Consider the following 16,144-nt stretch of genomic DNA (forward strand, 5'->3'; position numbering starts at 1 on the left):
AAAATTCAGTCTCGAGGAAAGTTATACATACTTTATTGAGCATCTACAACATACCTGACACTTTCTCAACACTATCTTTTTAACCTTTTTGAAACAACTGTAGATTTTGCAGATGAGAAAACTAAGATGAAGGGATTAGAAATTTTACCAAAATCATAATGGAAGTGTATGATTAAGTAGGGATTCAAAACATTGTAGAGTTCTAATCTTTCTTGACCATTTGTATTTGTAATAAATCCCTTAAGCTGAAAGAAAAAGAGGTGTTGAAAGTTTTGTATTGGTCAATGTATTGGTCCTCTACAACAGGGATCCCTAACCAGGCCACACAGCAGGAGGTGAGCAGCAGGTGAGCGAGTGAAGCTTCATCTTTATTTACAGCTGTTCCCCACCACTTGCATTGCAGCCTGAGTTTCACCACCTGTCAGATCAGTGGCAGCATTAGATTCTCATAGGAATGCAAACCCTATTGTGAACTGCATATGTAAGGGATCTAGGTTGTGCGCTCCTCATGAGAACTTGTCACTGCCTCCCATCATTCCCAGACGGGACCATCTAGTTGTAGGAAAACAAACTCAGGGCTCCCACTGATTCTACATTATAGTGAGTTGTATTATTATTTCACTGTATATTACAATGTAATAATAATAGAAGTAAAGCGCACAATAAATGTAATGCACTTTAGTCATTCTGAAACCATCCCCTTATCATGCTGGTCTGTGGAAAAATTGTCTTCCACAAAACCGGCTTCTGGTGCCAAAAAGGCTGGGGATTGTTCTACAATACAAGTAGTATTGTATTTTAGTTTATAGGTTTTTTAAAAATTGGTCATTTTAGTTATCAATGTGTTGTTCCTAACAGAAAATGGAATGTAATTAAATATCAATAAATACAGTTCAAAGTCCAATAGAGAAAAAAAAAAGATGGTTTTCTTTTTTCCCTCTTTTAGAATAGTTTATGATGTTAGTAATATATTTTTATTATATAAAAATTGGAACATTTACATAAGAAAAAAAAGTGCAATATTTACAATCTTGTCCTAGAAATAACTGTTGCCAACATTATGGTAAAGTTTCTCCCAGATGTTTTTTTCCTTATGTATTATTAGTTAAATTTCTTATAGCATCAAGTAGCATATCCTTTTTATTCCCACTAAACCATTTATCAAGACCATGCTTCTTTCTTATAAAAGTTTATCCCAATATCACTTATAACAGTGTGGTATTATTCTGTTAATGAATTAATAAGTTATTGTTATAATAAGTTACAGAAAATGTAAATGCTTAGAAAAGACCAAGCAGGTAACTTAAGTGTCTAAATTAGACAATGGAGGTCTGTGAAACAACCAGAAAACCCAAGCCCAGCCTAATGAATTTTAAATTAATGTTTTACTTTAATATAAAATAAAAACATAAATAAATATCACAATGCTAGCCAAACCAAACTCACCTCTAATAAATGCTGTCTGAGGATTGTTACTTTGTCACCCCTAAACCAAAATAGCCGATTATGGATATTTAGGTTGGTAAAAGAAAGTTTACCAAAATTAACCACAATATAGAATGCCTAGGTACCCCCACTTTACCCTAAGAGACAAAAACAGATGAATATCCCCTAAGAACTAAGAATATTCTCAATCTGGAGAAAATTTACATACTTTTAATTTGAACAATTGATACTGAAATGTATCTTTAAAAATATTAAATTTTGTACCAAATACAAAATCTAGGGCAGGGGATACATACATGCAAACAAAATGATAAGAGTAGTTGTGTCAGGGAGGAAGAGAATTGGGTGGCTAGGAGACTTTTTGTCATATAACCTTATCTTTGATGGCGAGTTAACCAGTTTGTGTAGGTATAGTTGTCTTTTCCTTTTCACTCTTTTAATATGTGTTAGAATTTTGAAACTGAGAATTCATATTCCTCATTAGTTTTTAAAACTCCTTAACCAGAGTATTAGTTTTCTAGGAATGCCATGACAAACTACTACAAAGTGGGTAATTTAAAACAACAGAAATGTATTATCTCATAGTTCTGGAGGTCATAAGTCCAAAATCAAGGTGTCAGCAGGGTTGGTTCCCCCTGGAGGCTCGGAGGGAAGAGTCATTCAATGCCTCTCTCCTAGGATGTGGTAGAACCCAGAAATTCTTAACACTCCTTGGCTTATCAATATATCACTATAATCTCTGCCTCTGTCTTCATGTAACCTTCCTCTCTGTGTCTTCTCATTTTAGTCTCTTATAAAAACAGTGATGATTAGTTTTATGGCCCATCCTAATCCAGTATGATTTCATTTTCAGATCCTTATTTTAATTGTATCTGTGAATTAAATCTTTATTCCAGATGATGTAACATTTTGAGATTCTTGATGAAATTATCTTTGGGGTATGGTGTGGGCCACTACTTAACCCACCACAAGCATTATTATCTTTTCAAATATCTCTTCCTTATTCTATTGTTTTCTTTAAGAATTTCAAAGTGAGCATTAGATCTTTGAATGCTATCTTTGAAGTCTCACAGCCGATCTTATATTCTCTCTCTCTGCAAGTCTGTGTTATATTCTGTATAACTTCTTCACATATGTATCAGTTAACTTTTACTATTTGTCAAACTACTCTGAACTTGGAATAATAATTTATTCAGCTTATGGTTCTGTACATCAGCACTTAGGTCTGTGTTCAGGTGGTTGGTCCTTCTTGTATGAGCTGGGCTTGGATGATGTTAGCTAGGTGTGTTCAAGTGTCTGCAACCAATTGGAGGGTCTTTAGGCTGGGTGCTTTATTATAGCTATGGATGAAACAAGCTTTGGTCTCTCATCCTGTAGCATGTTAGCTTGGGCTTATTTGCCTCATGGAAGTAGAGGTCCAAGAGTGTGAGCAGAAATGTTGTAATGCTTTTTTAAAGCCTAGATTGGACCTAGCACAATGTTGATTCAACCATATTCTGTTGGCTAAATCAAGTCACAAAGCCAAAACTTTACTATTGTAAAGCAAAAGTTGCTTACTATTGTAAGCAAAAGTTGATAGACTTCATTACTACCAGACCTGCCTTACAAGAGGACTTGAAAGGAATACTAAATATAGAAAGGAAAGACTGCTACCAGATAATACAAAAACACACTTAGACACACAGACCAGTGTCACTGTAAAGCAACACACAAACAAGCCAACATAATAACCAGCTAACAGCACAATGACAGGATCAAATCCACACATAGCGATACTAACCTTGAATGTAAATGGGCTCAATGCCCCCACTTAAAAGTCACAGAGTGGCAAGCTGGATAAAAAGCAAGAACCAATGGTATGCTGTCTTCAAGAGACCCATCATTCATACAGTGACACTCATAGGCTCAAAATAAAAGGATGAAGAAAAATCTACCAAACAAATGGAAGACAGAAAAATGCAGGGGTTTCAATCCTAATTTCACAAAAAATGGATTTCAAAAGAACAATGATCAAAAAAGACAATGAAGAGCATTGCATAATGGTAAAGGGTTTAATTCAACAAGACCTAAGTATCCTAAATATATATGTACCCAACACAGGAGCACCCAGATTCATAAAGCAAGTTCTTAGAGACCTACAAAGAGACATCGACTCCCACAGAATATTAGTGGGAAACTTCAACACTCCATTGACAGTATAAGACAGATCACTGAGGCAGAAAATTAACAAATATTCAGGACCTAAACTCAGCATTGGATCAAATGGATTTGATAGACCTTTACAGAAGTCTCCACCTAAAAACAACAGAATGTACATTCTTCTTATTGCCACATGGCACATCCCCTAAAATCAACCACGTAATTGGGCATAAAACCATCTTCAACAAATGTAAAAGAACTGAAATCATGCCAAATAAACTCTTAGACCAAGGCACAATAAAAATAGAAGTCAACACAATGAAAATTGCTCAAAACTATACATTTACATGGAAATTAAACAACATGCTCTGAATTACTTTTTGGTAAATAATGAAATTAAGGCAGAAATCAAGAAATTAACTGAAACTAATGAGAACAAAGATACAACATACCAGAATCTCTGGAACATAGCTAAGGCAGCATTAAGAGGAAAATTCATAGCACTAAATGCCCACATAAAAAGTTAGAAAGATGGCAAATTAACAACCTAACTTCACAACTGATAGAATTAGAGAAGCAAGAACAAATCAACCCCAAAGCTCCAGAAGATGAGAAATAACAAAAGTCAGAGCTGAGCTGAAGAAAAATGAGACACAAAAAAACATTCAAAAGATCAAAAAATCCAGGTGTTGGTTTTTTGAAAAAATTAATAAAATAGGCCACTGGCTAGACTAATTAAGAAGGAAACAGATAAGATCCAAATGAACACAATTAGAAATGACAAAGGGAATGTTAGTACTCACTGCAGAGAAATAAAAACAACCATCAGAAACTACTATGAACATTTCTAGAAACACAAACTAGAAAACCTGGAAGAGATGGGTAAATTCCTGGACACATACACCCTCCCAAGACTAAGCCAAGAAGAAATTGATTCCCTGAACAGACCAATACTGAGCTTTGAAATTGAATCAGTAATAAATAGCCTACCAACAAAAAAGCCCAGGACCTGAAGGATTCACAGTCAAATCCTAACAGATGTACAAAGAAGAGTTGGTACCATTCCATGAAAGCTATTTCAAAAAATTGAGAAGGAGGGACTTCTCTGAGTCCTTCAACTCATTCTCTGAGGCCAGCAGCATCTTAATACCAAAACCCGGCAGAGATACAACAACAACAACAACAACAAAAACTTCAGGCCAATATTCTTGAGGAACATCAATGCAAAAATCCTCAACAAAATACTTGTAAACCATATTTGTCAGTACATAAAAAGTGAATCCACCATGATCAAGCAGGCTTTATAACCTGTGATGCAGGTTTGGTTGAACATATGAAAATAAATAAATGTGACCTATCACATGAATGGAACTAAAGACAAAAACCACATGATCATCTCAATAGATGCAGAAAAGGCTTTTGATAAAATTCAATATCCCTTTATGTTAAAAACTCTCAATAAGCTATGTATTAAAGGAATATACCTCAAAATAATAAGAACCACTTATGACAAACCCACAGCCAACATTATACTAAACTGGTAAAAGCTGGAAGCATTCCCCTTGAAAACCAGCACAAGACAAGGATTCCCTCTCTAGCAACTTCTATTCAACAAAGTATTGGAAGTCCTAGCCATAGCAATCAGGCAAGAGAAAAAAAATAAAGGGCATCCAAATAGGTTGGGAGGAAGTCAAACTATCTCTGTTTGCAGACGACATGATTCTATATCTAGAAAACCCCATAGTGTCAGCCAAAAACCTCTTTTAGCTAATAACTTCAGTAAAGTTGTAGAGTACAAAATCAATGTGTAAAAATTACTAGCATTCCTATACACCAAAAACAACCAAACCGAGAGCGAAATCTGAAAGGCAATCCCATTCATAATTGACACACATGCACACACACACACACACACGCCTAGTAATACAGCTAACCAGGGAGGTGAAAGATCTCTACAATAAGAACTACAAAACACAGCTCAAAGAAATAAGAGAAGACACAAACAAGTGAAAAAACATTCCATGTTTATGGATAGGAAGAATCAATATCATTAAAGTGGCTATACTTCCCAAAGCAATTACAAATTCAATGCTATTCCTATGAAACTACCAACAACATTATTTACAGAACTAGAAAAAATTACTTTAAAATTTATATGGATTCAAAAGCAAGCCTGAATAGCCAAGGCAATCCTAAGCAAAAAGAACAAAGCTGGAGGCATCACACTAACTGACTTTATATTACAAGGCTACAGTGACTAAAACAGCGTGGTACTGGTACAAAAACAGAAATATAGACCAATGGAACAGAATAGAGAGCCCAGGAATAAGACTGCACATACACAACTATCTGATATTTGACAAAGCTAACAAAGACAAACAATGGGAAAAATGCTCCCTATTCAATAAATGGTGTTAGAAAAATTGGATAGCCATATGCAGAAGATTGAAGCTGGATCCCTTCCTTATGCCATATACAAAAATCAACACAAGATGGCTTAAAGACTTAAACTTAAAACCCAAAACTATAAAAACCCTGGAAGACAACCCAGGCAATACCATCCTGGACATAGGAATAGGCAAAGATTTCATGACAAAGACACCAAAAACAATTACAACAAAAACAAACATTGACAAATGGGATCTAATTAAACTAAATAGCCTTTGCATATCAAAAGAAACTATCAACAGAGTACACAAACAACCTACAGAATTAGAGAAAATATTTGCAAACCATGCATCTGACAAAGATCTAATATCCAGCATCTATCAGGAACTTAAACAAATTTACAAGAGAAAAACAACTCATAAAAAAGTGGTCAAAGGACATGAACAGACGCTTCTCAAAAGAAGAAATACATGGGGCCAACAATCATAGGAAGAAAAGTTCAGTATCACTGATCATTAGAGAAATGCTAATCAAACCCACAATGAGATACCTATCTCACACCAGTCAGAATGGCTATAATTTAAAAAGTCAAAAAATTGCAGATGCTGGCAAGGTTGCAGAGAAAAGGGAACCCTTATACACTGTTACTGGGAGTGTAAATTATTTCAACTATTATGGAAGACAGTATGGCGATTCCTCAAAGTGCTAAAAGCAAACTAACATTTGACCCAGCAATCCCATTACTGGGTGTATACCCAGAGGAACATAAAGTATTCTACCATAAAGAAACAAGAATGTGAATGTTCACTGTAGCACTGTTCACAATATGGAATCAACCAAAATGCCCATCAATGGAAGGACATGGAATCAACCTAAATGCCCGTCAGTGCCAGACTGGATAAAGAAAATATGGTACATACAAACCATGTAGTATTATACAGCCATAAAAGAACGAGACTGTGTCTTTTATGGGAACATGGATGGAGCCAGAGGCTATCACCCTTAGCAAATTAATGGAGGAACAGAAAACCAAATATCACATGTTCTCACATAAAGTGGAAGCTAAGTGATAAGAACTTATGCACACAAAGAGGAAAGCAACAGACACTGGGGTCTACTTGGAATGGGGAGGGTAGAAGGAGGGAGAGGAGCAAAAGAGATAACTAATAGGTACTGAGCTCAATACCTGGATGATATAATAATATGTACAACAAACCCCCATGGCATGTGTTTATCTAGGTAACAAACCTCCACATGTACCCCCAAACCTGAAATTAAAAGTTAAAAAAAAGAAAATATAATAGTTTTCTAAAACCTTGTGTCATTTTACACTCTGACTAGCAAACACTCTATGAGACATTCTAAAAGATATGTATTGATATGTCCATAATGACTGATTTAGCTAAACATCTTTTCACATGCTTATATCTGTGTATCTTCTTTAGTAAAGTGCACCAATACATTGCAGACCTTTTGTGGGTTGTTTGCTTCCCTATTGGGTTTGAAGACATTTTGATATAATCTTGATATAAGTACTTCATCAAAATATTATTTACAAATGCTTATTTTTTCCATCCTATGTCTCCATTTAATTATCTTAGAAATTTTTGAAGATTAAAAAGTATTAATTTTGATAAAGTCTAATTTACATTTTTTTTTCTTTTGTGGGTCATGGTTTTGGTGTCATATCTAAAAAATCTTGAGTTCTGTAAATAAAGAGATTAAAAGTCACCATTCCATCCTAATAGTAAGCAAAAAGCTGAACAAACTGAAAAATAAAAAAAATCTTAGATCCATAAGAGAAGTCAGATGACAGGGCAAACCACTGTCCTTAAAACTGGAGAAACTGACAGGGGGATATAGGGAATCACAACATATCAGAGCAAAAACTTCCATGGGAACCAGTGTCAAGGTAATAAAACCTAAACTGTATTTGACATTGCTGGAGGCTAGGTGTGGACAAGTATGAGAATTAAAAACTCCAGAGGGACGTAGTCATAGGGGGACCCCACACTTTCATAAGTTTACCCTCCAGGAGTTTACTCAGGTTCTCACAGTAAATATTGGGAAAAAATCCCTACAGACAGAAATAAAGAATATGTTATTGGAAACTGGAGAAAAGGCAATCCTTGTCATAAACTGACAAAATCCTTGGCTAAATTGTGTTTTGCGGAAGGCAAAAGGTATGAGCAATGAATTGGGTATTTGGCTGAACAAATTTCTAAGCAAAGTGCTTAAAGTGTGTCCTGGCCCCTTTTCAATTCTTACAATAAAATGTAAGAAAAGAGAAATGATTAAAGGCCAAACTTTTAATCAAAAAGGAAGCAGGACTTAAAAATTTGGAAAATTCTCAGCCTACTCGTTGCAAAGAATGATAAAATATGTTCAGGAGAGAATAGAGGTAGAGACAAGTGATTTTCATAAGATTAGTCTGGACTTGCTATTTCAGCAGAAGCCAGGGACTACTCATCTAGACAAGAGAGGAATAATCCTGAGGGCATTTTGTAAATTACTGGAGTTACCACCTCCCATCATAGGTCCAGAGTGCAAGGAACTGGAGGTCGAAGCCATTTCAAGGCTCTGCTCCATGAATTTTAGCACAGTGCTCCTTGGCTGCCCTAGGTGTGACTCCAGTGGTTTCAGGTGCAGTGTGGACTGAGTTGGCTACCTCTCCAGAGGGCACAAATACTCAACATTGGCAGTGTCCACTGTGTGCCATCTCATCTTCCCCAGAGCATACAGTGCATGAACTGTTGAGATGTGGCTATCTCCATCTAGATTTTGAAGGACAAGGCTGCCTGGATCCTGGTGCCCAACCCCTATCCTGTATTTCCAGAAAGCATGACATTGAGTAAAAAAAGATTATTTTTGATCCTTAATATTTAATTTTGTTTGCCCTGTTTGGTTTCAGACTTGCTTGGGACTTGTTACCTCTGTCATCTTTCCTATTGCTCCCTTTTGGAATCAGAATGTATATCCTAAGCCTGTACCAACACTGTACTTTGGAAGAACATAACCTGTTTATTTTATAAGCTCACAACTAGAGAGTGTCACCCATATCTAGTTTAGATAGTATTTTCACGTAACTTTGGACTTCAGACTTGAGTTGATGTTGGAACATGTTAAGACTTCTGAGGCTATTGGGATGGAATGATGTGTTTTACAAGCAAGAAGGACATAAATTTTGTGGATCTGCGGTAGAATGGTATGATCTGAATGTCTGTGTCCCCCCCAAATTTTATATGTTGAAAATCTAATCATCAATGTGATGGTATTCAAAGATGGGGCTAATTCAGAGATTGGATTATGAGAGTAGTGCTTTCATTAATGGAACCAGTACCCTTATAAAAGAAACACCAGAAAGCTATCTTTCCCCTTTCAATACACACAGTGTATTGAACACAGGGAGAAGCTATCTATGAAAAGCTATCTTTGTCCCTCTTCAGACACCAAAATTTTGGCAACTTGGTCTTAGACTTTCCATTCTCTGCACCTATGGAAAATAAGTTCCTTTTGTTTATAAGCTACACAGGTTATATAATTTTGTTATAGCAGCCTGAACTTACTAAAACTCTTCCAAAACAGAAAGCACCAGGTCCAGATAAGTTCACCGGTGAATTCTACCATACATTCAAGGAAGAAATTTATCAATTAAAAAAAAAGGATCTCTTTAAGAATATAGAAGCAAAGAGAATACTTCTTAACTCATTCTATTAGTCCAGCATCATGCTGATATTAAAACCAGACAAATGCATTACAATAATTAAAGGGTTTAATTACTTTCACAAGCATAGTTGCAAAAATCCTCAACAAAATACTGGCAAACAAAGTCCAACATTGTATGAAAACAATTGTACACCAAAACCAAGAGGGAATTTTCTCAAGAATGCACAGCTAATTCAACTTTTAAAAATAAATTAACATAATTCATCACATAATCAGGCTGAAAAAGAAAAGTCACATGATTATATCAATAGATGCAGAAAAGGCATTTCACAAAATCCATTTATGATAAAAATCTCCCTGCAAAATACAATGCCGGGAAACTTCACCAACTTGATCTAAAATATTTATTTAAATAATGATAGCTAACATAATTCTAAAGTGTGAGAAAATAGCTTCTTTTTTATTGAGATTGAGAACAAGGCAAAGACTCCAGTGTGGTCAAGATGCCATTTCTTTCCAGTTTGATCTTCAGATCCAATGCAGTCTCAATCACAATGCCAAACAGTTATTATTTTTTTTAGCTATTAGCAAATTGATTCTAGAGTTCATATAAAGAGGCACAAGATCCAGAATAGCTGAAACAATATTGAAGAAGAACAACAAATTTGAAGAACTGACACTACTCAAGTTTAAGATTTACTATGAAACTATAATAAGAGAAACAGTGTGGTATTGGCAAAAAAAAATCTACAAATAGAATAGAGAGCTCAGAAATAGATCCACATAAATATAATCAACTGATCTTTTAAAAAGAAGCAAAAAAAATACAATGGAGAAAAAATTGTCTCTGTAATAAATGGTATGAGAACAACTGGACATTCACATGGAAAAAAATGAATTTAGACACAAAACTTAGGGTCTTCACAAAAGTTAACTGTAAATGGATCATAAACCTAAATGTAAAATGCAACACTGTAAAACTCTTACAAAATAACAGAAGAGAAGATATTGATGACCTTGGGTTTGGCAATGAGATTTCAGTTATGAAATTAAAGGCACAATCCCTGAAGAAAGTCAAACTCTCTCTCTTTGCACACTCTATACCTAGAAAACCCCATAGACTCTACCAAAAGGCTGCTAGAACTGCAAAACAACTTCAGTAAAGTTTCAGGAAACAAAGTCAATGTACAAAAATCAGTAGCATTTCTATACATCAGAAATCTCCAAACTGATAGCCAAATCAGGAATGCAATCCCATTTACAATAGCCAAAAAAGAATAAAATAACTTTAAATACAACTCACCAAGGAGGTGAAAGACCTCTACAGTAAGAATTACAAAACACTGCTGAAAGAAGTAACAGATGACAAAAACAAATGGAAGAACATTTCGTGCTCATGGATGGAAAGAATCAATATTGTTAAAATGGTCATACTGCTCAAAGAAATTTACAGATTCAATGCTATTCCAATCAAATTATCAACATTATTTTTCACAGAATTGAGAAAAGCTATTCTAAAATTTATATAGAACCAAAAAAGAACCAGAATAACCAAAGCAATCCTGAGCAAAAAGAACAAAGCCAGAGATATCACACTATCTGACTTCAAACTATACTACAGGGCTACAGCAACCAAAACAGCATAAATCTGGTACAAAAACAGACACAGAGATCAATGAAACAGGATAGAGAACCCAGACATAAAGCTGTACATCTACAACCACCTGATCTTTGACAAAGTCAACAATAACAAACAATAGGGAAAGGACACCCTATTCAAAACATGGTGCTGGGATAACTGGCTAGCCATATACAGAAGAATGAAACTGGACCCCTTCCTTTCACCAAATACAAAAATTAACACAAGATGGATTAAAGACTTAAATGAAAGACCAAGAACAGATGGTGGCAAGGTTACAGAGGAAAAGGAACACGTACACTGCTGGTGGAAATTTAAATTAGCTTAGCCACTGTGGAAAGCCCTTTAAAGATTTCTCAAAGAACTTAAAAATTATCATTTTATCCAGCAATTTTACTACTGCATATATACCCAAAGAAAAATAAATTGTTCTACCAAAAAGACACATGCACTAATATGTTCATTGCAACATTATTCACAATAGCAAAAAGAGATTCAACTGAAGTACCCATCAATGATGGACTGAATAAAGAAAATTTGAAATATACATACATACACACACACACAGCCATAAAAAAAGACCAAAATTATTTTCTTTGCAGAAATATGAATGCAGCTGGAGGCCATTATCCTAAGCAAACTAATGCAGGTATGGAAAACCAAATACCACGTTCTCACTCACAAGTGGGAGCTAAACATTGAGTACACATGGACACAAAGATGGAAACAATATACACTGGGGACTGCTTGAGAAGAGAGAATGGGAAGGGGATATGGGTCGGAAGGCTACCTATGGGGTACTATGCTCACTAGCTGTGTAATGAGATCACTTGTACACCAAGCCCTAGCAACATACAATTTACCCTTGTAACAAACCTGCGTGTGTTCCTCTGGATCCTAAAAGTAGAAGAAAAAAATTAAGAAAAAAAATACAAATAAAAGATAAGTTGGACTTAACTATAGTTAATTTTATTTCCCATGCATGAAATGCTCTCAAGAGAGTGAACGGACAAGCCCCATACTGGGGGAAAATATTTGAAAAAGACATAGTTGATAAAGGACTATTATTCAAAATATACAAAGAGCACTTAAACTTCAACATAAGAAAACAAAACAAAACAAAACTTAAAAATAGGCCAAAGACTTAACAGACCTTACCAAACAAGATATGCAGATGGAAAATAAGCATATGAAAACATGCTCCACATCAAATATCATAAGGGAAATGCAAATTAAAAGAATGAGATACCACTACATACTTATTAGAATGGCCAAATTCAAAGCACTGACAACACCAAATGCTGGTGAGGATGTGAAGTGACAGGACTCTAATTTATTACTGTTAGAAATGGAAAATGGTACAGTCACTTTGAAAGGCAGTTTGATGTTTTGTTTTCTTTTTAAATATAACTAAGCATACTTTTATAATATGATTCAGCAATCATGCTTCCAAAGGAGTTGGAATTTACCCAAAAGAGTAAAAATCTTATGTGCACAGGTGTTTACATCATCAATCATAATTGCCAAAACTTGGAAAGAACCGCAATCCCTATTTAGTTCAATGGATAAATAATCTGTGATACATCCAGAAAATGGAACATTATTCTACAATAAAAGAGATGGGTTATCATACCATGAAAAGACATGGCAATTACTTAAATGCGTGCTACTATATGAAATAAGGCGACCTAAAAAGGCTACGTACTGTAGAATTCCAACTATATGACATTGTTGAAAAGGCAAATGTATAGAGACAGTAAAATGATCAGTGGTTGCCAAGGCATACAGAGGAGGGAGGGATGAATAGGCAGAGTATGGAAGATTATTAGGGCTGTGAAACTACCACAATAATACTATAATTATGGATTTGTATCGTTATACATTTGTCCAAACTCATAGAACAAACAACAGCAAGAGTGAACCTTCATATAAACTATGGACTTTGCGTGATAATGATGTGTCAATGTAGGTTTATCAGTTGTAACTAATGTATCACTTTTGTGCGGGATGGTCATAATGGGAGAGGCTAGGAATGTGTAGGGGCAGGAAGTATATGAGGAATCCCTGTACCTTCCTCTCAATTTTGCTGTGAACCTAAAACTACTCTACACAACAACAATAAAACCTTTTTAAAAAAGACATAGAACATCTCATCACCATATACATATTTTTGCACTCCTTTTCAATACATGCCACCACTACTACCCTCATCCTTGCTTGCCTAGAGGTAATCTCTATTCTGATTTCTATAAACTTTAATTAGTTTATGTTGTTGTTGAACTTTATATAAATGAAATCATATACTGCAAAAAGAAGATGCTTGCCTAATCCATAGTTACAAAAATTTTCTCATATGATACCTTTCAGAAGTTTTACTTTAGTTTTAAAATTTAGATAATTTAGATCTTTGGTTTATTTTGAGTTAATTTTTGCATTGTGCAAGTTATGAAACATTTGTTTTATTATTGCTGTATGTGAATATCTAATTGTTTTATTTGTTGAAAAGTTTATCCTTTCTTTACTGAATTGATTTAGCATTTTTCTTGAATGCTAAACAATTAATTGACTATCTATGCATGAGTCTACTTCTTGTCATATAATTTTATTCTATTGACCTATTTTTGTATCTCTTAATGCAGCACTATATTTATTACCACGGTTTCATAATAGCAGGTCTTGAAATCAGATAGTATAAGTTCTCTAATTTGTTTCTTCTTTTTCCAGTATATTTTGACTATTGACATCTTAACAATATTACAGTTTTTGATTCAGGAACCTGGCATAACTCACCAATAATTTTAGTATTCCTTAATTTCTCTTAGTAATATTTTTGTACATTAGTGGCTGCTTTAGTGTTTATAGTATACGTATTTAATTCAACACAATCTATTTTCAGTTGATATTATACTATTTCACATATAAGAACCTAACAACTAAATATTTCTATTTTTCCTCTCTCAGCCTTTGTGTTATTGTCATACAATTTATTTCACATGTTATAAACACCACAATATATTATAAAAAATTATTTACACTGTCAGTTATCTTTCAAAGGCACTAAAATAATAATAAAAAGAAACTTTTTTGTATTTACCCACATACCCACCATTTCCAGTGTTCTTTAATCCTTTTGTGGATCCAGATTTCCATCTGGTGTCATTTTCCTTCTCTCTAAAGGACTTTCTTAATATTTGCTTGTTTTAGACATCTGATGGTGATGAATTATTTAAGATTTTATATATATTTTGAAAGTCTATTTCATCTTGGTTTTCAAGGATGATTTCATTAGGTATAGAATTTTGGATCCACAGGTTTCTTTTATTTTTTCATGGTTTGTTTTATTTTGTCTCCCCTTTTTATACTTTAAAGATATTGTTCTACTGTTTTCTGGATAGTCTTTTCTCCCAAAAGAAATCTGCTGTCATTATTTTCATTGTCTTCTGTATTTTCTGTGTCTTTTTTGTCTAGTCGCTTTTAAGGCTGGCTTGCTTTCTTTTTCTTTCTCTCTCTTTCTCCTTTCTTTTCTTTTCTTTCCTATCTCTTTTTTCATCTATCTATGTATCTATATATCTTTTTTCACCTATCATTACTAATTAGAGTGATTTTTTTTGGCTATGGCTTTCTAAACTGTATAAGTATTCTTAATTAAAATCTTAACTCCTTTTAATTTAAGCCAATGATTGCATGTATTTTTCCCCAAAGTCTTAACCAAAGCAGGAAAAAAAAAAAAACAAACCCTATTTAAATTTGCTGTCTTATTTGTTTGTTTGTTTTACTGGCGTGTGTGTATGTGCATGTGTGTGTGTGTGTGTGTGTGTGTGTGTGTGTATTTCTAGCCTGTGTGTGTACTGGAGATGTAGTAGCTTAAAGATGTTGGATGTATGTGAGGATTCTGTCGGTCCACCACGACCTTTTCCTCCTTTCTCCAGGTGATGATTAATACTCACAGTTTTGAATTTCTGTTATCATCATATATCTTAGAACAGATGTGGCTTCAGTTCTTGCTTATCACTTTGGTGTCAGCTTTCTTTTTGTTTTGGCCCTCTTTGGATTTTCCTTTAGCCTCTTGAGAGCTCTCCTATGCATTTAAAGATATAGTTTATCCAGCATTCCTAGGTGTTTAATACTGCATAGTTTTTCAGAACATCAAGGTTGTCATATTGCCAGAACAATTCTAAGTGACAGTTTTAAAGATATCATTTACATTATTCACTTCAGTATAATTGTTATTATTTTTATCATGAATCTAAAGAACAAAAATTGTCTAGAATTTATCCTGGTTATAAACTCTTCTTCACAAAGCATTAGTGAAATTGATGTATCTTAATTTAGGTGATACCAAATAATTATTTTTATTGATATTCTTTCCCACCAATTGAATTAAGCATTTCTTCTGACATTAGTATACTATCTTGTATCAATAAATGTTTAGTTGTTTTTCTAACATTCAAAGAGTTATCATATTTTCTGTGAATATTCTCTGTGTTCTGATTATGTGAGAGCCAGGACAGGCTAAACATTTGCTACATTAAGACCATGCATGTGTACCCAGATGTAGCCCATTCCCTAGCTCTGGTCTTATAAATGCTGGTGATAAACCAGACAAAAGAAAAAATAAGTTATCATATTTTTAAAATGTTTCTTGTGATGACATGCAATATCTTAGATAAAAAATAAAATAACAAATAATGAATGTCTGTCTTAGCAACATGTTAAAATGAATGTTTAAGAGACAGTTGATACTAATTAAGAAATTAGGAAGTTAATTGCTCAGAATAATATTGGTTATCCTAGAAAATACATTCTCAACAGAAGCCAAATTTGGCAATACCAATTTTGAAGTATTCACTGGACATGACATGGTTT

At 34.2% G+C, this 16,144-nt stretch overlaps 1 non-coding gene across 1 annotated transcript; it reads left to right on the top strand.

Annotated features, from left to right (window-relative positions):
• Positions 1 to 15,745: 15,745 nt before the first annotated feature.
• Positions 15,746 to 15,877, top strand: LOC124900519 (small nucleolar RNA SNORA72). Its single transcript, XR_007088710.1, has one exon. It is a non-coding gene; the product is annotated as a small nucleolar RNA SNORA72 (small nucleolar RNA).
• Positions 15,878 to 16,144: the final 267 nt, after the last annotated feature.

The sequence above is a fragment of the Homo sapiens genome, chromosome 2 (genome assembly GCF_000001405.40).
Source record: "Homo sapiens chromosome 2, GRCh38.p14 Primary Assembly".
Classification (NCBI taxonomy): domain Eukaryota; kingdom Metazoa; phylum Chordata; class Mammalia; order Primates; family Hominidae; genus Homo; species Homo sapiens.